The sequence below is a fragment of the Homo sapiens genome, chromosome 13, assembly GCF_000001405.40.
Source record: "Homo sapiens chromosome 13, GRCh38.p14 Primary Assembly".
Lineage (NCBI taxonomy): Eukaryota > Metazoa > Chordata > Mammalia > Primates > Hominidae > Homo > Homo sapiens.
In genome coordinates this window covers 59,865,410-59,889,806 of record NC_000013.11, presented here as the reverse complement: position 1 = coordinate 59,889,806, position 24,397 = coordinate 59,865,410, and the positions used below count along the sequence as shown (strand labels likewise).

At 34.4% G+C, this 24,397-nt stretch overlaps 1 protein-coding gene across 15 annotated transcripts in view; it reads left to right on the top strand.

Annotated features, from left to right (window-relative positions):
• Positions 1-24,397, top strand: part of DIAPH3 (diaphanous related formin 3) — a 498,346-nt gene that overhangs the window by 274,122 nt on the left and 199,827 nt on the right. For 14 of the 15 annotated variants that reach the window (XR_002957478.1, XR_002957480.1, XR_941672.1 and 11 more), the window contains one exon: positions 10,339-10,578. Coding sequence is in view for 10 of the 15 variants with exons in the window: in NM_001258368.2 (NP_001245297.1) it covers positions 10,339-10,578 (240 nt within the window). In the remaining 5 variants the exon portion in view is untranslated. Of the gene's footprint in view, positions 1-10,338; positions 10,579-24,397 lie in introns of those variants that run through there. The other variant, XR_001749694.2, reaches the window with a different exon arrangement.

Here is a 24,397-nt window from a genome sequence, read left to right as displayed (position 1 = left end):
AGTTTATAGTGAACTATACAACTTAAGATGATCACCCAGTGATTGATTTGACTGCTCAAATAAGAACAAATAGTTTTCAATGGGATATTACAGAACTGAGAGTGGTTATATGTAAGTAAGTATTCAATATTGAATGCAATATTGAATTAAAAATTAAAGAATAATAAAATGGGATGTATTATCAAGAAAAAAAGAAGTCCAAAATGGCCCAGGTTTTGGATTTCACTTGCAAAGACAAAATAAGGATACTACAAATATGTTCAAAGAACTAAAGCAAATGATCTTCAAAGAATTAAAGAAAAACATGGTCATAATTAAGGAATATTTGCAGGGAAATGAAAACTATAAAAAAAATTGCTATATAGAAATTATTGAAAAGTTCAATAACTAAATTAAAAATTTTAGTATGTGGGTTTAATAGTATATTGGAGATGGCAGAGGAGTCAGTGAAATTCGAAGGCAGTTTTATAGTGATTATTTTCTCTTAGTTATGTAGGAAGAAAGACTGAATAAAGTAATAAACAGCAGGTATTATTGGGTAGATATCATTCAGTCTAAAATACCTGTAACTGGAGTCCCCAAAGGATAAGAGAGTAAGATTGTGGCTGACAAAATATTTGAAGAAATAATGGACAAAAAAGTCTCATTCAGTGAAAAACATAAACTTAGGGTTTAAGAGGCTCAGCAGATCCCAACTAGGAAAAATATAAAGAGAAAAAGATATCATGGCACAGCCTAGTAAAACTGTGGAAAACCAAAGAAAAAGAGAAAATGATAAAAGTATCTTGAGGGGAGGAAAAAGATAAAAGGCACAGTACATGTAGGAAAACAAAGATAAAAGATTTTGCTGGCTTCATAGAAGTAATAGACAGCAGAAGTCAACAGAAGAGTTTAAAATGCAAGAAGCTCAACAGAAAGGTGTTAAAAAAATACCCTGTAAACTCAGAATTCTCTATCTAATGGATGTCTTAAAAAAAAATAAGGTGACATGAAGACATTTTTAGTATTATAAAAGCTGAAAGAGTTTGTGACAGTAATTCCTACCCTACAAGAAATGCTAAAAGTTGTCCTTCAGGCAAAAGGGAAATATGCCAGATGGAAACTCAGATCTACAAAAAGTAATGAAGAGTACCTGAAATAGTAAATAAAACCTTTTTTCTTATGATTTTTTGAAAGAAAATTTGTAATAAAAAACATTGCGTAACAGGGTTTATAATTCCAATTAGATTGATACATTAAGATGTATTAATCCTAGACAAACCAGAGAAAATATAAAAAGAGGCATAGTTAAGCCAGTAGACGAAATAGAATACTAAAAATTGCTTGACTAACACAAAGCAGAAAAGGGATAAAAGAGGTTGTCTTGGTCTATTTTGGCTGCTGTAACAAAATACTGTAAACTGAATGGATTATAAACAACTGAAATTTATTTTTCACAGTTCTGGAAGCCGGGACTTCCATGATCAGGGTGCTGGCCGACTCCATTTCTGGTGAGGGCCCACTTATTTCTGATTCATATATGTTGCCTTCTATCTGTGTTCTGAGATGGTGGAGGGACAAGGCAGCTCTCTGGACCCTCTTTTATGAGGGTGCTAATCCCATTCATGAGGACTCTGCCCTCATGATCCAATCACCCCCAAAGGCCCCATGTCATAATCCTATCACACTGGTGAGTAAGTTCTCAACATTTATGTTTGGTGGGACACAAACACTCAAACATAGCAGTGGGGAAAAAGGCAGAAAGGACATATGGAAAACAAATAGTAATAAAATAGCACATGAAAAATATCATGGGTATGTGTATTTCCAAGAAGGTATCTTTCAAGGCAAACTATATTATAAGAAATGAAGTATCAGTATACAATAACAAAAATAATAACTTGCCAGGAAGAGATAATCATTTTAAATATGTATGCCTAAAAATTGAGCATCAAAATTTATGAAGCAAAACCTGGCAGAAAAAAATGGAAAAATATACAAATTCTCAATCATAATGAGACTTTAACACTCCTCTTTGAATAAATTCTAGAAAAAGTGTACAAAAAAAATCAGTAAATTCTTAGAAAATCAAGATACTTCTATCATCCAACTTGTTCTGATATTTATAGAACACTATCTACAACAACTGCAAAATACACATTATTTTTAAACGCATATCAAATGTTTACCAAGGTAGACCATATGGGAATATAAAATAAGCCTCAGTAATTTTCAAAATATAGATATCTTGCAGGGTATGTTTTCTGTCTATAACAGAATTAAGTTAGACAACAACAATAATAGAACATCTACCACAGTCTAAAAATTGCATAACCTAATTTAAAATTACCGGTGGGCCAAAGAAGGAATTATTTTGAGCCAAATGAAAATGAAGCGCTGAAAAAGACAACCAAATTCTCAAACTACTGGTATCAGGAATCAAAGAAGGGAATCTACTACAGCAAAACTAGAAACTAATATCATATATGAACATAGATGCAAAAGTTGTCAACAAAATATTTTTGCATCAAATATTGCTGAACTTAATAAGGAGAGTATGTTATGACCACATGGAATTGATCCCAGGAATGCAGGGTTGGTTTTACATTTCAAAATTAATTAGTTAGCCATATTATCAGATAAAAAAATACAAGGTAATTATGAGAAAAATCATAATTACCTAAATACATGCGAAATAAGACGCATTTGACAGAATTCAGTCATTTTTTATGAAAAAACTCAACAAACTAGAAATAGAAGGAAACTTCCTCATTTTGATAAAGGACATCCATGAGAAACCTGGAGTTATACTCAACTTAAGGGTGAATGATTAGATGACTTGTCTTTTATGGTTGAGAACCTGGTAAAGGTGTCTATTTGCATTACTTCCTTTCAGCATTATAATGTACTAGTCTGTGTAACAAGAAAACATAAAAGATGAATACATTAGAGGAAAGAAAGTATACCATCTTTTTCTTTTTTTCAGCTGACCTAATTGTCTATGTGAATTGAAAAAGGTCATAGAATACAGTCAGTGTACCAAAAATAGTTATTTTTTTCTACAAACAGCAAAAATTTAAATGTAATTAAAATAGTATTATTTACAATGTCATAAAAAAAACTAAAAATACTTTGGGATACATTTCACTAAATATGTGCAGATTTTCTACTGAAAACTGTAAGATATTGCTGAGAGAAATGAAAGAAGTTGTAAAGAAATGGTATTTATTATGCTTATAGACTGGAAGAGTTGGTATTGTTAAGATTTCATTTCTCCCTCACATGACCTAGGAATTTCACACATTCCCAATCAAAATCTCAGCAGGTTTTATTATAGAAATTGACAAATGATTTCTAAAATTCATATGGTATGCAAAGGACATAGAATATAGAAAACCAATTTTAAAGAACAACAAACTTGGTGGACCTAAACTACTGATTTAACATCAAGGCAAAAGTTTTGGCTTAAGGATATACAACTAAGCTTTCTAGAAGGTTAGAAATAGACCCACAAAAATACCATCATTTGATATTCAATGATGTTCTTTGTATCAAATAGTTTTGTAAAGTCTATACATCTTAGGGACTAAAATGAATCTCAACTCCTGCATCACACCTTACTGAATAATTAGAGGAATGGAGTACGGACCTAAACATGAAAAGATAAAAGATAACTAGAATAAAACATAAGTTGGTAAAAGGAATATAAAATCATATAACCTACTTTGCAAAAACACTTTGGCAATGTTTTAGGTTAGGTATACATTTGTACTATATTTTTTACTAATTTAATAGAAATGAAAACACTCATACGAAAGTATTAAAATAGCCTGTATTAGTTTCTTAGGGTTGCCGCCACAAATGTCTACGATCTTGGTGGCTTAAAACAACAGAGATTTATGCTATCACATTTCTGGGGTCCAGAAGTCATAAATGAAGGCATTGGTAGGGTTCCTTTCTTCCAGAGTCTCTGAGTGAGAATCTGATCCATACCACTCTGCTAGCTTCATTAATCTACTCACGATCCTTGGCGTTTCTGGGTAGATGTATCACTCCAGTCTAGGGCTCACCCTAAATCCAGGATGATTTCATCTTGAGATTCTTAATTTAATTACGTATGCTAAAACTGTTTCCAAATATGATCACATTCAAGGTAGCAGAGGTTAGGATTTAGACATACCTTTTGTGGGTCTCTGTTCAATTCAACTCACTACATAGCTCCAAACTGGGGTGGGTTGGGGGGAAAGTCCATCAGCAGGAAAGTAGATACACAAATTTTGGTATATTCTTGCATGGAAATCTATTAATAAAAAGGAACAAAGTACTGAATTATACAACGTGTGTATAAATCTCAGTCTTTTTTTTTTTTTTTTTTTTTTAGTGAAAGAAGCCAGCTATATAAACTGTTTACCGTATAGTTTCATTAATATAAATTTCAAGAACAGGCAAAACTAAGCTATAGTGATTGAAATCAAAACACTGGTTTTCTACGATGGGATGGGGATTGTCTGGAAGCGGGCATGAATGAATTTAAGACACTAATATGATTCTGGGGTTTATGCCAGCTTTTTAATTCAAGAGATATGAAACTTATGTGTTAAGACTGTGTGCTGAGACTGCCAAATTAAATAGGAAGTCTCTTTGTTCTTTAGCTTTACCAATCATAGCTTTACCACTTGATGATCCTGAGTATCTTCAGAACTCATTTGGACCTCCTGTGAAATCCTTAGTGATCCAGAATTGATAAGGATTTATAAACAAAGGTGCAGCAGTCTCTAATGTCTATAGCCAATTGTTTATTTCTTGACTAAGTGGAGGAATATACATTTTAGCCTTTTAATATTTTTGTACAAGCCTTGGCTTTACCTTTCTCCTATGAAATATGTAAAAATTATACCATATGTACTTTGTTTTTGTATAGTTTTCTTAAATAACTTTAGCATAGCAGCTTTAATATCGTAAGAGTACATTTATTTTAAAAACAGTTTTGATATTCTGAGTATTACCTCAGGCATAAGTCACTTGAATAGCTTTTTTTTTTTTTTTGAAGCCTTTCTCCAAGTGAAATGAACTTGTGTTTTTTTCTGAGAATTCTGGAGATCATGAACATATTGGTCTGTTAACAATGAAAGATATTTTTTATATCATTAGAAAAATCAAGCTCAAAAATTTTTTCTCTAGTGTCTTAATTCTGTGATGTATTAGATCACATTACTTTCTCAAAGTATTTTCTCTTGTCTTTCATAAAACTGCATTTGTTTTTTCACATTCTTCTTGCTTATCATACCTCTCCCATAGAGAACTGAAGAATTAGCTAATAGGAGAGTATGAGTGGAGAGTGTAGTGTGGAGCAGCAGTCCTCAACCTTTTTAGCACCAGTGAATGGTTTCATGGAAGACACTTTTTTCATAGATGGCAGGGGGATGGTTTTGGGATGATTCAACCATATTACATTTATTGTGCATTTATTTCTATTATTACATTGTACTATATAATGAAATAATTATACAACTCACCATAATGTAGAATCAGTGGGAGCCCTGAGCTTGTTTTCCTGCAACTAAATGGACCCATCTGAGGGTGATAGGAGACAGCGACAGATCATCCAGGCATTAGATTCTCATAAGGAGCATGCAACCTAGATCTTTTGCGTGCATAGTTCACAACAGGGTTCTCGCTCCTATGAGAATCTAATGTCACTACTGATCTCACAGGAGGTCAAGCTCAGGTGGTAATGCAAGCAATAGGGAGCAGCTATAAATACAGATGAAGCTTCACCTGCTCGCTCAGGCCCGCTGCTCACCTCCTACTATGCAGCCTGTTTTCTAACAGTTACTGGTGTGGGATCCCTGATGTGGAGAGACAACAAAAGTAGATCTGAAAAAGTATTAAAGATTCAGCACAATAGGAGGTAGTTGGGTATATTAAGGAGGAAGGTAAGAAATATTGAGATAGTACAGGTGGCAGGCAGAGCTCATTGCAGGGTGTTACTTGATAACTACTGTGAAGAAATTAAAGTTCATTCTTACCTACTAGAAAACATAGCAGAGGAAGCTTGAGTTCCAGATGGTTTGTAAATTGTGGTTCTTAATTTCCACATTGCGATGCTCTGAGTGGTAAGGACAGTTGATTAGCAGCAAGTTAGCTCTAGGCCTGGGTCCTACTAGCCAGGTGACTTGAAAGAGTCATTTCACCTTCCTGAAATGCTTTTCTGTTATTTCTTATAATGTGATATCTACAAAGTAGATGAACTAATGCTTTTAGAGTATTATAAATTAAGACCGAGGCCAGTAACTTCCCAGTCAGCAGGTTACTATACTGTTAGAGAGTTAAGTGAACAGTGAAGTTTCATAATAACTTCAGGGAAGAATAAAAAAGAATAAAAAATAAATCCTTCTGAGGTGTGCCATGTTAAGTCTGCATAGTAGGACGGGGGAAAAAAACATCTGACAACCTGTATTTATAAAAGAAAATGTATAAAGAGAAGTAGATATGGTGTTAAACAAAGTTGATGTAAAAAATGATTTTTTTCCTTATAGAATAATGGATAAAATTATATGTGAAAAATAGAACCATAATGAGATTTTGAGAGATTACATCTTCCTGGGGACCTTTCTGACTTTATACTCCTTAAGACAGGCAGAAAGAATTCAACGATAAGGGCTACAGGGGCAGCTGCTATGGCTCCTGTGCCCCTCACAGCACTGAATGGGGCCCAGTCAATACTTGTTAGTTCATTGATTTTTCTAAAGGTCTTTTTACGTTGTTCCCTCTCTAACAACATATATTGCCAACAAACAAAATTTTGAAATAAAATTACCCTTAGGGTTCTGGATATTGCTTCTTGATTTTTACCAGTCACTGCTTTTAACATCTCTTCATTCTGACATATGACATCTGTGTGTGGGGGGGTTACAGGAGTACTGCTCCCTGCCTTCAGGAAAAACAGGAGTGAAATCAATGTATTTTTCCTTTTTTGGATTGATCTTCAGATTACATCTCATTATTGTCAGATTTGGGTTTCGTGAATTTATATTGCCAAGACTTTGTAACAATAGATTTAAAGGATAACTGTAAAAATGAAATTCTAATTTCTTCTAGCATTCTAATTATTAACTAGCTTACATTTTATGTTTATTGTTCATTTACCCTTTCCTTTTTCTCATTTTTAAAAATGACTTTCTGTTGCCATTCAGAGTATTATTTGAGCACCATAGTTCATTTCTGCCTTCCACTTAGTCTTAGACAAGTCAGAAGTTTAGTTTTCTTAGCAGGAAAACAGAATGCAAATCCCCAGTGTTGATAGAATATGAGAAGTGGTGAGGATGCGGAAACATTGGTCGGGCTTTTTACATATACATATATTTTCCCCCTTCTTAACCCTTTTTATTTGATTCCACCTGAAGAAATAAAGTTTGATTCAAATAATGAGGAAAAGGGCTGGGCGCAGTGGCTCATGCTTGTAATCCCAGCACTTTGGGAAGCCCAAGTGGGTGGATCACTTGAGGTCAGAAGTTAGAGACCAGCCTGAACAACATGGTGAAACACTGTCTCTACTAAAAATACAAAAAATTAGCCGGGCGTGGTGGCTCATGGCTGTAATCCCAGCCACTCAAGAGGCCGAGGCAGGAGAATTGCTTGAACCCAGGAGGTAGAGGTTGCAGTGAGCTGAGATTGTGCCACTGCACTCCAGCCTGGGTGACAGAGTGAGACTCTGCCTCAAAAAAAGAAAAGTAACCCTTCTGTTATTATCATAGATTCCATGATTTAGATCTTGGAACATTAACCTTAAATGATATTTTGTTGTTAAATAAAAAGGGCAACCATTTGGCCTAGGGGTCATCATATGACTAAATAGTGAACTAAAGACAGGCACCTTCTCCAGGTGACCTTTCAAGTTCTTTTCCCACTCAATAATTTTATTTATTAAAACACATTTACTCAATAATAGTCAAATACTGATTTATCTAAACTTGGAAGAAAGAACAATAGGAAAAGGACATCTAATTTTTTTTTTAAGTGTTGTTCAAAGCTTTGTTTTTAGGTTACATTTCCTGACTTTGCCTTGTCAGGGATTTTCATGAACTTGTAGCACTTTGTTCTGCATTACATCATAGACTTACTCTATCTTTTCAAGGTACCTGTCCCTAGTGCCAGATACACTCATTATTCATACAAATCTAGGTTATATTTTTCTAGGAGAATTAATTACTCTATGCTGGCTACATATGGTTAGCTTGTCAGCAGGAAAGCTTTAACATATTTTGGGGTGGTATAATGTAGGCATTTAAGCAGTCTCTTTTTTCTTCTGTGCATGAATGTAGTAGTACATTAATATATGTTAGAATTAATATATTTCGTAATACAAATGTTTTGCATAGAATACTGGAGAATTTCTTCTCATATGTATTGCAAGTACCTGGCTTCATAATCATGAATAATGGCACTTACTGAAAACAGCGATGCTATGAGCCCATTATACACCTTCAGAATGGCCATAACTACAGGTACTACATGTGAGTGCTCTTTTGTATGTCTGACTGCTCTAAAGGACATATTAAGTGTAATAGAGCATTATTCATGTTACCAGTGTCATATGAACATCTTCCTTTTGCAATGGTTAAGGATAAAAAAAATCCAGGTAAGTGAACCCATCTGTCTTAAAATATAATATATTTTAAGACAAATGTCTTTGTGATAAGTGATCACTGCTTAAAAAGAACAATTCATGCCCAATAAGAATCAACATTATAATAGTACATCTTTGTCTCTTTATAATTTCATATCGCTTAAACTTACTCTATAAACTTAATGATATTTCTTCTTCTTCTTTTTTTTTTTTTTTTTTTGGTCCTTGTTGAACTTACATTCTTTGTTTTTCCTAGACAGTGGAATATGAAGACGTTCCTTAAAGTGCCTTGTAAAGTAGACTTCTTATTAATAACTACATTAATTGAGCCCTTAGAATCTTGATTGTATATGAATAACCATTTAATTTGGCAAGGGTCTGGGGAGAAAGCTAAGTATAAATTAGATATTTATATTATTTGAAAATGGAACTTTTCATTCACTATAGGGCTTTGGTCTATATGAAAATATTCTCTCAGAGTTGTGTACAAAGAACTAATTCTTTATTGCTCAATTTTTGTCAGATGAGTAAGCTGAGTTATGTTTAGTCATTAAGGCAGTGTCTATAATATATTGGAGTCTTATAAGCCTTTGTCTAGTATATTTTAAGTAACGGTCATTATTATATTATGAGCTGATAGCTTTCTGTATCCCAAACAATCATGATTTTCATTATATTTGGCATCCTACAGGCTTCATATAGCATTGTTTTTTAGCCTTTCCTTTACAGTCTGTGACTAAGGGAGAAACAGTCCCTATTTTAATCTGTCACTGCTTTTTTTCTGACCTTGCCTTAACCTGCTTTTGATATTTACAATAGTTGTTGAAGTTCAACAATTTTACTATTACCGCCCCTTCAGTGCGTTTTAAGTCCCAAATCCCTAGTGTGTTTGGTCAAGGAATTCATATCTAGCTTCATATGTGGTATGTCTTCAGCCTACAGCTAAGTGATTATTTCCTGCATGTGTGTTGATATAACACAGGAGTAAGGATAAAGGCAGGAACTTGCCCCTTTGTTCTTTTAGACACCTCCAGTCCCCCACATTCCCAGTAGAGAAACCTAGAGTCCCAGACAGGGTTAACTTGGCATGTGATAGATTTGTGGGTTTGCACCGCTTCTGCCTGCTACTACTCCCATGTTTCCTAACTCTGATTCTGCTAATTTAGTATGTGTCAGGAGTCATTCTACTTTCCTGTGTTTCTGAAGAAAGTCAATTTAGTACAAATTGGGACCTATTTACTCTCCCTCTATCTAACACATACTGTTAGTCAGCAGGGTTTCTGAGGACAGCAATTGCTATTTGAAGAAAACAAACCCTCTTTAGACTTTTCTGAATGTGTTTTAAACATGACCCAGTATATTGCAGTATTGAACAAAAATTATTCAAAATAATGACATGAATGCCTTGTAATTTGTGGCCTATGTATCTTGTTACCTTTTTAGAATTTAGTTTAAAAAATGCTTACTTTATTGCTTAATTAAACATTATCATTTAATTAAAGCTTTCTTTTCATTGAGCATCTAAATTGTTAATTTGGGTTTTGAGGGATGACTCTGGATTCCTTACAAAAACAAGCAGGGCTTTTCTCTCTTCCTGCTATCAGTTTTAGGAGACATATTTCTTCTTTGGTACTGTCATACCAATAAATCATCCCAGATTACTTGCAGTCGTACAGTACTAAACTATACCATGCATTTTAAAGGAAATCTGCTGTTTTCTTTTCAATCAGATGAGCAATGTGAAGAGACTACGGCCACGGCTCAGTGCTATTCTCTTTAAGCTTCAGTTTGAAGAGCAGGTGAACAACATCAAACCTGACATCATGGCTGTCAGTACTGCCTGCGAAGAGATAAAGAAGAGCAAAAGCTTTAGCAAGTTGCTGGAACTTGTATTGCTAATGGGAAACTACATGAATGCTGGCTCCCGGAATGCTCAAACCTTCGGATTTAACCTTAGCTCTCTCTGTAAAGTGAGTTTGTTTTTTTAAAAACACATATTTGCCTGAACACTTGCTCTTAAATGTCAGCCCTGATTGCATTATTTAAATATTTTTTTATTTTGATGTGCTCATTATCAAGAACTTGAACTGAACCATGAACTCAAACCCAGAGTGAACTGAGCTAATTTACTCAACCTCTGAACTAAATCCAAATATTAATTTTCTTCAATCTGCAAATCCAATTCAAGGATTTTATTTAATAACAAAATTATATCATAAACCTATGCTTTCTCAAACCAATGAAATGGAACGTCAAAATATTATTAATACTGACTCGTACTTACTCAGTTCAGATACCTGTATATATATTGAATATTGCTTAGGATTGCCATTAACATTTTTACCTTTAACTATTTAAATATTTCTCTGCATTGCTTTCATAAGCAGACTGAAAGGAGAGAAAAATGGGACCCCTTTATATAAAGGGGAAATTATTATATTGGAAATATATGCAACTCGGATATTATTGATTTTGAAGTGTTTCTATCTAAATATAATTCTAGAGGACATGAAAATGGAGTAAGTTTAGAGCCTTTTTTTTCTCCTGTGTCTTTCATAGGTTGAATTTCCTTACAGCAAATATATTCAATGTTTTATAAAACAGAGCTCTTTCCTGAGGAGTGGGCCATAGTAATAGGGCTTTATTGATCTGCTTACAACAAATTCTTCTCAGTTACACATCAGAAGAAAACCTTTTTCTTGTTCTTGACCTCGTAACAACCACACTCCCTGATTAAGGAATTTGATTATTGCTATTGCCAGCTAGTTAGGGAAGGTGAAAAACAAGTTCTGCTTTACCTATAGGTTTACTGCATGCTTATTCTATTGGGGCTTTCATGAATTTTCTTATACAATTTCCCTGGCCTAAGCCTCTCATTGCTATCAATGCCTTGTGAGTGTTTCCTTTGCCCCATCTCCATTCTTTTATTTTCCTCTCTGTTTTCTTAGGCAGCTGTATTTGGTGAAGATCCCTAGCATGGGCGATGCAATTCCTAAAACACATCCTGAAGACTTGGCACATCTCTCGTGGGCTTACTCAGAGTGAAGTCCTGTGCCAGATGCTTTGCCAGATTCTATCTTTAGATTCTATCTTTAATGTATGTGATTAATATTTACCTGGCATACATGAGACTCATATTTTCCACATGTAAACCATTAATTATGATGAAATGCTTTAATGAAGCCACATACTAAAAGTTATGGCAGCAGAGTTAAGACAGAGAGCCTAGCTCAGCTATGAGAGGGCAGTTAGATATTCAGAGAGAAATGGGAATTTAAGCTGGATCTTGAAGGATGAGCAGATGTTCTGTGAGAGGAAAAGGCGTTCTAAGCAGGAGTCAGCAGCTTCCAAAAGGGTTATAGCATGGCATGTGTGAGTACAGTGAGTGGCCTACTACCTTTGCAAACTAGATGGGAAAGGAGTGGGGCTAATGAGACTGAGGTGATAAATTGGTCTAGATTGTAAAGAGCTTTGAATATCCTGCCTAATGATGGAGATTTTATGGAGTCACACTCTGTAAGGCAAGTAATATGATCAGATGTTTCGTAGCAAGATATGTCTATCAGCAGTATGGAAGAAGGTTAAGCTGCACTGTTTAGTACTGTTGCCATGAAACATATATGGCTACTTAATTCAAATTAGTTGAAATTTAAATAAAATTAAAAACATAGTTCCTCAGTCACACTCGCCACATGCCAAGTGCTCAGTGTCCATACCCGTTGGCAGCATATATATGGCACATTACCATCATTGCATAAAGTTATTGGACAGCGCTGGGTTAGAGGGTTACATTGAGGAGGTATTTGGTGTTTGGTTGACATGTAGTGTGAGACCTAAGAGAGCAACAGAGGAAACCAAACTGAGAAGGTAATAGGAAAGATGGTATGGGGGTGGCAGAGAAGAGAGAAAGGTCAAAAATAATTCCTAAGTATCTACCTTAGGCAACTAATGGGAGATATTGCTACTGGCATGTTTGAAGTGGTTGCTCAAAAGAGAATGAGATCAGGGGTTTTTTGTTGTTATTCTACTCTTGTTTACCTCAGTATCTTAAAGGGCATATGATTGAAGCTACCTTATTCAATTATTTAGCAAAGGTTTGAGTGTCCACTAAGTAGCTATCACTGTGTTTTGAGATGATGGAGTTCCAAGCTAAGGTAACGGCAGAAGGGTTTGAGGTAGAATGTAGTGGGGATGTAGGGAAGTACACAAATTCAGGGACATCTGAGGAGTTGTCAAGGTGTGCTGGTTATGAACTTGGAAGCTGAAGGAGAAGGAGGCAAGCAAGAATGGCAGATTCAGGCTTTCCCTGAGAAGGAAGGCAAAGTAAGAAAAACAGGGTGAGGGGCAAGATAGGGGAAAGTTAATCCACAGCCACACATGTACTACAGTCTGTTTCCTCGTGCAAAAGTGTCTGTGATCCTCTTTAGGTTTTACATCTCAGAATTATAGTTGACACAAAAAAACTGGCTGCATGCTCTTCCTCATGTCCTTATGCCTTCCTCTAAGGAGAGCTGTTGACAGGGAGACTAGGTGTGATTAATGAGGTAGGATAGCCTACTGCAGTGGTTGGTATATAGTAAGTACTCAATAAATAGCTGTTGAATGAATGAAACTTGTCATAAGACAAAAAGTAGTGTCTTATGTTTATTTTGTTGTTGAAAATAAATAGACATCCTCTCATTGAGATACAATCACTGATGCATAGTAATTTTTAAATCTTTTACAAATGCAATGTAGCTGTTATTCTTTTACTACAGTTAGTCGGCAAACCAGTTAATCTGTCTGCAGATAAAGAGTTGACTTTATTTTCTTGCAATGATACTGAGTATTTTGATCATCCCTCTTAGGAGCCTTCTGTTGTGGAAGAAACAAAATAAATACTACAACTTCATGTTTTTTATTAGCCTACATGTCAAGTTGAAAGCATATATTGAACAAGATGATATCTCATCATATTTGTTATCAGAAGTAGCAGCTTGATCTTTGACAATTGTGATTGAATTTTCACACTGAGTATAAAGCATTTGGTTTGATGATAAGCTTCTACACAAGGAATTCCATATATATTTGACAGTAGAAAGACAAGGAAGTATTTTAATCTGTTAAAACATGCTGGGTAATTATATGACATTTAACATTTTATATCCAAAATCCTTACTTTTAAATGCCCTTTACGAATTTAACTCAAGTATGAAAAATTCATGAAAATTCATATTAAATTAACTTTGCATTGTTTAGAAATAAGAGCATGAATACTTGAGTTTCATGCCCATTATAGTTTAGTTTGGGGAGCTGTATCATAGCTTTGTAGACATTTGTAGTCAGGATGGCAATGAGTAACTATAATATCTCTGGATTCGAGAGAAAAGGATTTGCTTTCTTATATCCCAAAGATTTCATGTGACATATGACAAAAAAGTAAAATATGACATATAAGGTAAACATAACTGAATTTATGATTAAGATCTAAATAAAAATTAAAGTTGCTATATAGGTGCTTGACTTTTTGGTGGTCAAAGTGATGTGCAAACTTCACTTCATGAGCAAAAATAGTGTTTTCCCTGATTAAACCTTCATAAGAAATTTTGCATATGTATCTTTACAAAAGGAAAACGTGTTGAATAGTGTTATAAACAACAAATGAGTCAGTTTCGTCAGGATTTTTTTTTTAGAACAATCTCTCTTTCTCCTCCTCTCTTCCCCTCTCCCCCAAAATATGTATTCTGGGCCTCTTAAGGACCTGGCACCCCATGCGAACCCTTATGATGTGAAAAAAAATGTACGTTTCAGTCACAGTAATGCTACTTCTAGTTTAGTTAAAATGGTGTAAGTACCTTGCTTTCTGATGGCTTGACTTTTTAAAAGGATAAACCTTGCAGAAATAATGGAGGACTGCTTGTCATTAAAAAATCCTCCAAATGTAGTACTGAACTTCAGATAAAAAATGGATATCATTTTGACATCATATTAATTTTGAGAGTGGGGAGACTGCTGTTGATTAAGTGGAAAACATATCTTTAGAAATTAAATCGGCAGATGGTAGATGCTTATCTGACCAAAATGCTGACCTAGAAAAGTTTGTATCTGGTTAGTATCAAAGATGTTTCTCCAAGAGACACGTTGATAGGGCCAAGTTCATTTTTTTCAAAGGATTTTAGGTAAAGAGTGAATTGACCCAACCATCAAAGTTCAACACCATATTAAAATATATGAGATAATTTTGACTTGTAAATTTAAGAAGATGTTACTAATCCACATATAATAACCATAACATGTGTTTAATAATGTTTACTAATGTCTAATAAGATGTATAATTTCTGAGTAACAGATCATTCTGATCAATACAACAGGATGATGCAGCTCTTTGTTCCAGGTGATTGATTGAATCAACTGACTTCCTATATTGGGGTAATAGATATAAGTTTTGAAGGAGTTTTACCACGTGTAATAACTAATTTTTATTGGTATTTATGCTGTTATTCTTTGGGAAAATTGCAGAAACAAATAACTATTGATCCCACTTTAAATTTATCCATACTGTCACTTTGTAGGAAGCCTTCTGTTTTCTATGGCAGTAGAATATCTAATGAGTTCGTCTCAGAGTTGAAGTCATTGATGAATACATGGTAATGGGGCTATGGGCGTTGAGGAGTAGGTGCTAAGACGGTGAGGGGGTGGCAGGCAAAATTAATTTTTCCTAAATTCTCTTTTCTAATGCATGAATTTTTTATCTGATTCTGGATATTCCTTTTATAAGCAAAAAGTAGAAAAAGTAGAATAACTTCATCAGAGCTGTGATGGAGATAATTAAAACAATAGAAACAGCAACAAACATTAAATTCTCATATTCTTTAATGTTTCCACCAACCCTAATGAGACACTTTCCAAAATTGTGACAAATGGCTTTTGGATGACATTGATTAGCAACCTGGAGTACCCTTTAAGAAATACTGATGCCGCAGTCCCCACACCAGTTCAATTAACTTAGAAAGAATGGATGTGGATCCTGATTGGTGGCATTTTTAAAGCTACTTCCTAGGTGATTTTCATACTCAACTTGAAATGTGAATCGCTTGGTCTTCTGCCCTACTTTCATATCCCAGAATGGAAAATCCCTGACTGGTGATCTGGAACCAAAAGCAAACATGAAAAAATGAAAATTAACCAACACCAAAGCCACGACAAAAACGAAACAACTTTACTTCTTCACTTAAGAATGAGTGGTGAGGCCAGGCGCAGTGGCTCATGCCTGTAATCCCAGCACTTTGCGAGGCTGAGGCGGGCCTATCACCTGAGGTCAGGAGTTTGAGACCAGCCTGGCCAACATAGAGAAACCCTGTCTCTACTAAAACTACAAAACTTATCTGGGCATAGTGGCAGGCGCCTGTAATCCCAGCTACTCTATTCGTGAGGCTGAGGCAGGAGAATCGCTTGAACCCGGGAGGCGGAGGTTGCAGTGAGCCGAGATCATGCCACTGCACTCCAGCCTGGGTAAAAAGAGTGAAAAAAAAAAAAAAAAAAGAAAAAGTGGTGAAAATATTTTCAAAAATTGCTGCTTTTCCTCTCATGCCAAGCTAAACATTACTCTGAAAATGAAAACTTTGAAAAGGAGTGTGAATTTCAGGCACATAGTGGAACTGAAATAAGTTGAAGGCCTGTTTCTCGAGCCATTTTACAAGTCTCTAGCTTGTACAGGTAGAGTTTCAGTGACTACAAAAGCATGAGACAGGATACCTTTGCCTATTTCAGGCAGTTTGTATTTTGCATACCTGTCACACTCACACAAGTTAACACTGTGAGTCGTTTTTGTGAAGTTTTGATCCCTATGTATCACTTTTTCCTTTACTCTATGAATTTATTTTTAAGAAAGATCTCTGCCGAACAAATCCATTGTTCCATTTGCATTCAGGGTATTTTGAGAGGGATTTTTATTCTTTATTAGGTTGGCAAAATTATACCAGTAAATTTTGGCAACCTTTGAAAGTAAAGCAGTTATGGGCCAAAGACTTGCAAATAACAAATGCCATTCTTATTTTACATGCAGCCAGTTAAATCACAGAAATACTGATTTCCAAAGCAATGTGAAACTATTTAGAATGCTTAACCCCCTTTGACTCATTCATTAACACATTTAATCTATGACATTTTCTAAGAAATATTTAATTGGCTTTTCTAAATAGCGTTTTTGGTAAATTATTTTCATGTCACCTTTGTTATTCAATTGCTGTTAAATGTTGTAAATGAGAATGATTCTTCTAATAGAATTATAAAAGATGGAGTGACTTTGCTCAGGCTCAGCAAATAGGCTGCTTGTGTGCCTTCATCTTCCTGCTCTCATAGCAAGCATAGCTTCTCTATCAAACTACCCTTTCCCCCAAACACCCAGCCTCTGAATCCTCCTCGGCGTCAGGCTTATAGACAACTACCCCATCAGAGATAGCACCGAAGGTGAATATTACCATCCCTGGTTTAATTCAGACTTCACTTTTATATATTTTATAAATGAAAAATAAAAACCAGAAACAAGACACTCCATTCCTGATACTCTAAGAAGTGTCTTACCTCTCCTTTATCAAGGGTCTGCATTGTTTCTACATTTTTGGAATCAGAGACAAAACATGCAACATTATTATCCACATAGTAATACTTAGCCATTGGTACTTATGAACATTTGTTCTTGGGGGACAGGGGAGAGGATGATGAAGAAATGTGTCATAAGTGGCTTTGAACTATGGTTCCAGCATTGGGAGGTACAGAATCCACCACCACCAGAACAAACTGAAAAATATCACCTGAGATATACCAGGCGTGTGTTTTGTTAAGTCCTTTAATGTAAAGTTCAGAAGTTTCTGTATTTTTTTAAAAAAACAAAACCATCTCATTTAAAATTATTCTGTTTGATCCACTTATATGAAACAGCAAAATGAAAATACAACTTATAAAGTTTTGTTCGATGCAATAAAAGCAGTGCTCACAGGGAAATTTATAGCATCAAGTGCCTATATTAGAAAATAAGAAAGATCTAAAAAGAATAATCTTTAACCTTAGGAAACAAGAAAAAGAAGAGCAAATGGACTCTGGAGTAGGTAAGACAAAGAACTAATATATACTAGAGCAGATATCAATGAAATTGATACAGAAAATTAATAGAGAAAATCAAACCCACCAATATCTGATTGAGTCTTTAAAAAGATCAATAGCCAAGCTAACCAAGAGAAAAAGAGAGAAGATACAAATTGCCCATATCAAAAACGAAAGAGGGACTATCGTTACTGATCCTATGGATGTTAAAAAGATAACGGAAGAATATTATTAACACAACCAAGCCTACAAATGTGATAACCTAGATGAAATGGACCTTGATAGATGCCATCTACCAAAAGTCACACTAGAGGAAATGGATAATCTGAATCTATTAAAATACTTGAATCAATAATGAATAACCTTCAAAAACAGAAAGAACAAGGCTCAGATGGTTTCACCAGTAAATTCTATCAAACATGTAAGGAAGAAATAATTTCAATTCTCTAAATCTGTTCAAGTAAATAGAAGGAGAGGGAATAATTTTTAATTCTATGCATCCTGGCTGGGTGCGACATTTGAAAATCCATTAATGTAATCTATCATCATCAATGAGCTAAAGAAGAAAACTCACCAATAGATGCAGAAAATGCATTTGAAAAAATGTAACATTCATTAATGAGAAAAATTCTCACCAAATAGGGGTAGAGGGGAACTTCCTCAAGTTGATAAAGAACATCTACATAAAATCGACAGCTAGCATCATACTTAATGGTAAGGAACAAGATGCTTTTTCCCTAAAACTGGAAGCAATGCAGGTGTGTCTTCTCTCACTACTCCTCTTGAACATTGTGTTGGAAGTCCTGGCTAGTACAGTAAGACAAGAAAAATAAAAGCTATAAAGATTGGGGCAGAATAAACAAAACTCTTTCTTCATAGATGAAATGATTGTCTGTGTAGAATGCCCGCCACCCCCCCCCCCAAAAAAAATGGACAAAAAATAAACCTCCTGGAACTGTTAAGCAATTATATCAAAGTTTTAGATTATGAGGTCACCTAATTTAAAAAGCCAGTGGTTTCCTGTATGCCAGCAATGAACAATTGGAATTGGAAATTTAAAATAGTGTATCATTTTCTTAGTAACAAAAACCATACATAGGTATTAATCTAACAAAATACATATAAGATCTGTATGAGGAAAACTACAAGGCCAGGCGTGGTGGCTCATGCCTGTAATCCAAGCACTTTGGGAGGCTGAGGCGGGCAGATCACCTGAGGTCGGGAGTTCAAGACCAGCTTGACCAACATGGAGAAACCCCGTCTCTACTAAAAATACAAAATTAGCCAGGCGTGGTGGCACATGCTTGTAATCCCAGCTACTAGGGAGGCTGAGACAGGAGAGTCGCTTGAACCTGGGAAGCGGAGGTTGTGGTGAGCCGAGATCGTGCCATTGCACTCTAGCCTAAGCAACAAGAGTGAAACTCCATCTCAAATTTAAAAAAAAAAAAAAAACACCTACAAAACTTTGAAAAAAATCAAAGAAGATCTAATAAAGTAATAGACATTTCATGTTCATAGAAAGCATGTCTCAGTACTATTAAGGTGTCGTTTCTTCCCAACTTGATCTATGGGTTCAATAGAGCCCCAGTGAGAGTTCCAGCAAGTTATTTTATGGATATTGACAAAATGATTTCAAAGTTTGTATGGGGAGGCAAAAGACCCAGAATAGCTAACACAATACTGAAGAAGAAGAACTAAGTTGGAAATCTGACACTCCCTGACTTCCAGACTTAGTATAAAGCTGCAATAAGGAAAATATTGTGGTATTGGCCAAAGGGAAAAAAAATAAAAATAATTTTAAAATAATGGACTGGAATAGAGACCCCAGAAATAGATTCGTATAAATATAGTCAGTTGATTTTGACAAAGGAACAAAGGTAATTCAATAGTGAAAGAATAGTCTTTCTTTTAAAGAAAAGGTACGAGAACATCTACATTTAAAAAAAAAAAAAGTTGCCAGACCTAATATCTTTCACAAAAATTAACTAAAAATTTATCATGGACCTAAATATAAATTGCAAGACTATACATTTTATAGAAGATAAGAGAAAATCTATGTGACCTTTGGTTTTATTATGACGTTTTAGATATAACACTAAAAGTATAATCTATGAAAGAAAATTGATAAATTGAACTTTATTAAAATTTAAAACTTCTGTGGCAAACAGTTAAGACAATGAAAAGAAAACAGGCTGGAAGAAAATCTTTCCAAAACACATACCTGATAAAGGACTTTTATCTAAAATGTACAAAAACTCTTAAAACTAAGAAATAAACAACCCAGTTTAAAGAAATGATCAAAAGATGTGAAGAGATACCCATCAAAACGTATAGGTGTCAGGTAAATGTATGAAAAGATATTGAAGGGATTAAAATATGCTATTCTGGTATATTGACTATTTAAAGATACTTGAAAAACAGCAGGTGTAGAAAGATTGCTTTGACCTCCTTGCTATTTCTTAAAAGCAGAAGTTAACATTTTCATGCAAAAGATGGCCTTTCCGTACTGGAAAGATGCAACATCCTTAATCGTCAACAACAAAAAGTCGAAACAAAGAGAATTTTTTAGAGGCCTTGTTAAAAGTAATTTCCCACCTAATGTAGTTGCTCCTTAACAACTGTTCTTTTCACAATCCGGTATATGGGTAACTGACTCTATTTCTTTCAGTCTTCATTCCTTTGATGGCCTTTGTGCTACGGAAAACTTGCATTACACGTTTCTCCTGTTAATCTCTCTCATGTCAAATTAAATTATCAGACCAGCAAGGACCCTAAGAGGATGGAGTTGTAATTTTTCTGTCCCTATAATAGTCAGCAGCAGATGTCATTAAGGAATTGCAAACTCAAACAATAAGACACCACTGCATATGTACTGGCATTGCTAAAATACTAAACACTGACAGCACCAAGTGCTGGTAAGTATATAGTACAACCTTCATTCATTGCTAGTGGGAAAGCAAAATGTGGCACATCAACTTTGGATAACTGGCAATTACAAAGCTACACGTAGAACAAACCATCCAGTAATCACACTCCTAAGTGTTTACCCAAATGAATTGAAAACTTAAGTCCACACAAAAACCTGCATACAAATGTTTACAGCCATTTTATTAATAATTACCTGAACTTGGAAGCAAGCAATATGTCCTTCAATAGGTGAATGGATAAACTGTGGTATATTCATTTGGAATATTATTCAATATTAAAAATAAATGATCTCTTTAAGCCAATGGAAGACATGGAAGAACATTAAATTCGTATTGCTAAGTGATAGAAACCAGACTGGAAGGGCTATCTACTGTATGATTCCAACTATGTGATGTTCTGTAAGTGGCAAAAGTCTAGAGACAATAAAACATCAGTGGTTGCCAGGGGTTCTGAGGAGAGGGAAGAAGGAAGGAATGAATAGGTGAGACACAGAATTTTTTAGGGTGGTAAAACTATTCTGTATAACATTGTAGTGATGGATGAATAACACTGAGTTTATCAAGACACATAGAACTGCAGAACACAAAGAAAGAACCTTAACGTGGAAACTAGTTAACAATAACGTGTCAATACTGGTACATTACTTGTCACAAATGTACCACACTAATGTAAAATGTTTACAACAGGATAATTTGTGTGTGTGTAGGGAAGGGTATACAGGAACTCTGTTTTCTGTTAGTTTTTCCTGTAAAGCTAAAATTGCTCTAAAATATAAAGTCTAAAATATAAAGTTAATTATTAATAAGGGTTAAAAAACCTTTAAAATTAATGTATTTGGTCCATTTGTATAAACAATCTAAACATGTTCACTTTCTAAGCACTTACTCCAATTTTTGTTAATTGTTCCCATGAGAAATTCTTATTATTAGATTAAGAAATCCGTGCTCTAAAATAGCAGTTTAGTTACATAGCTTTGGCTGGACAATGTTGGACTCCAGTGAGTTTTCTGAAACTACTCCAAACAAGAATATTTTTAAAATTTTTGACGTATGTTACTAAATCATTTTCCTGGAGGTTTTACTGATTTGCGCATGCCTGCAGTGGCTTTCATAGACTGGCACTATGAAAGTGCCAGTCTCACTGCGACCCTGCCATGACTTCTTGTTCTTGGTGAGAGTGTTTTTGTTAGGTGGAGAGTGCTGATATAGTTGCTGAAGCAGTATCTTGTATCTTTTTTATGTCTTTGATCATCCGAGTTTAGCATTTAAAAAATATATTTGTATTCTAATCATATTTGTTCCCTTGCAGATTGTTTATTCTAGTACTTTTTCCCATTTGCCTGTTATGAATGTCTGTTTTCTGATCTCTCAGTACTAAAAGAACTGAAAATAGTCCTTTTTTGTAAGGAACATTGAGCTGTTTTATATCTTTTGCAGGAAAAAGGGGGCAGTATGAACAGAACAGTGCAACGCAGTAGATAATGTAGTATGCTAAACTTTTACTAAAATGCACAAATGCTTTCTATATAGAAGTTTCTACACTCACTGTAATTCAAGAGAAATGTGTTAAAAATATAATTCAGAGAAAGTGTGTGGGGATATGGTAGCATATTATAATTACGGAAGTCCACATTATTTAATGCACTTTCTTGGTCACTTAATGTTTTAATTTTCATTATCATTTTAAAATGAATATTAAGTAATTAATATAAATTGTTTTTATATATGGGTGCCATAAGTAATTTAGTATTTATATGCCTTAGTATCTAATTTATATAATATCAATTGGTTTCTATCTTTAGAATTATTAAGAAAGTTATATTTTAATATTAATGGTTGTGGTTATGGCAGTGGCATAAGCACCTTAGGCTTGTTTTGTTTTGTTGTTTTTTTTAAGAGCCAGGTCTCACTCTGTCATCTATGCCGGAGCGCAGTGGAGAGATTATATAGCTCACTGCAGTCTTGAACTCCCAGGCTCATGCAGTTCTCCTGCCTCAACCATCTTGTTTTATTTACTTCAAGATTTTCATTGCCATTTGTATTGGAGTGATACTCAGTTTTGTTTTGAAAAATTTTGTTAGCACAATGATTATTTAAAATATATATTTAAAAATATTTATATATATAAATAAATAAATATATATGTAAATAAAGCAAGAGCCCATCTCAAATACACACACAAACACACACCAGGCACACACACAAGCACACGTACATACCAGAAAACAAAATCCATTCTATAATGGTGGTTGGTTTTATTAGTGAATTTGTACTACCACATTGACTTTTTGAGCTTTCTGTCTGAGCAATTGTGTTATAGTCTTTGTTAGTATGTCTTCATACATTCATTTTCACGTAGATACCTTTATTTTTAGGGATGCTATTTTATGCATACACAATCCACTTTATTCTGCAAAAGATTTGAGATGGGATATGATGCTATTAAAATATAGTGGTATAAATCCATTGAAGGTTAAACTTTATAGATACCTTTTTCTTCAATCATATGATATTTTGTCAGCAGTAATCCATTAGAAATATATAAAGAGTTGCTATTTGATTGATAAGATTCAGATGGCATTTTATTTATTTTACAGATAAAACAATAGAATGTTGTGCTCTTAGAACTAGAAATGACCTCAAGGGAGTGTGGTGTCTGTTTTTAGATGCTTTCCAGGCTAGAATTAACAGGTTAAAGGGTGCTAGTATTTTACATTGCATTAGTGCTCTTTTGTTGTTTTACTGCCATTTTTTGAGAATTTGGTTTATTTTGTTAATAATAAGCTAGACTAAAGATTGCTGTAAAGGAACTATATTTTATAGTGGATAAGAGCTTTGTATTCACACAGACATGTGTTCCAATCATTGGCTCCATGTGATCCAGTGTAAGCTATATGATCTCTCTAAATTTCCATTTTCCTTTTTAAATAATGGATATAATACTAGTTTGGGGTTGTAATGTTTTAAGCACTTAACATGTGTTATATTATTTGGCTAATGTCTGTCTCATGGTAAGTACCAAACATTAATGCTGAGGATGCTACTGTCATCCTCAGCATTAATATTATTCACAGGTTGTATTCTTCTAAAATGGTAATGGTGCCATTACAAGATTTTTCAGAATTTTGTCTTGTTTCTGGTGTTCACTAATGTCCACAGCATCTAAACATCTAAATATTCAATGCTGCTTTGATACATACCTAGATTATAGGAACATAATGATGCGGAGTAGAGTTATTAATGTGATAATATTCTTAAGATGTAAGTTTCATTATTTCAAACAGGAAGGGATTCCAGTTCCTTGACTTCTGAAGATCACGAAGATGCTTAGTTTTTATTTTAGGGTTTAAATTTAAATTATTACCATGTGACTAAATAAATGGAATATTCTTTAAATGTCATCCAGATTTGTGCTGAATACCTCAAAAATATCCCCAAACCTTGCACTGTAACTGCAAGGGAGTTTTACTGCAGACTGACAACTAGGCCATGATTTATTACAGGATCCACTTTTAACATTATTTTGTCTGGAATGAACAGAGTGGTTGGAGAAACTCCATCCATCTTTTGTTTATTTGACATTTATGCCACGTTAAATGTACCTTAAAGAAACAATACATAAATAGGAAATTCTGTTTAACGGTGATGATTACTCATCAGTAAGATAAATCTCTTGACAGTAATACAAAAGAAATCCTGTCAAGCACTGACTGTTAAAGTTTAAATAAAGCATACTTTTAACCTGAAGATATTTTTAAAGCAAATATTTTATTTTCTTTCC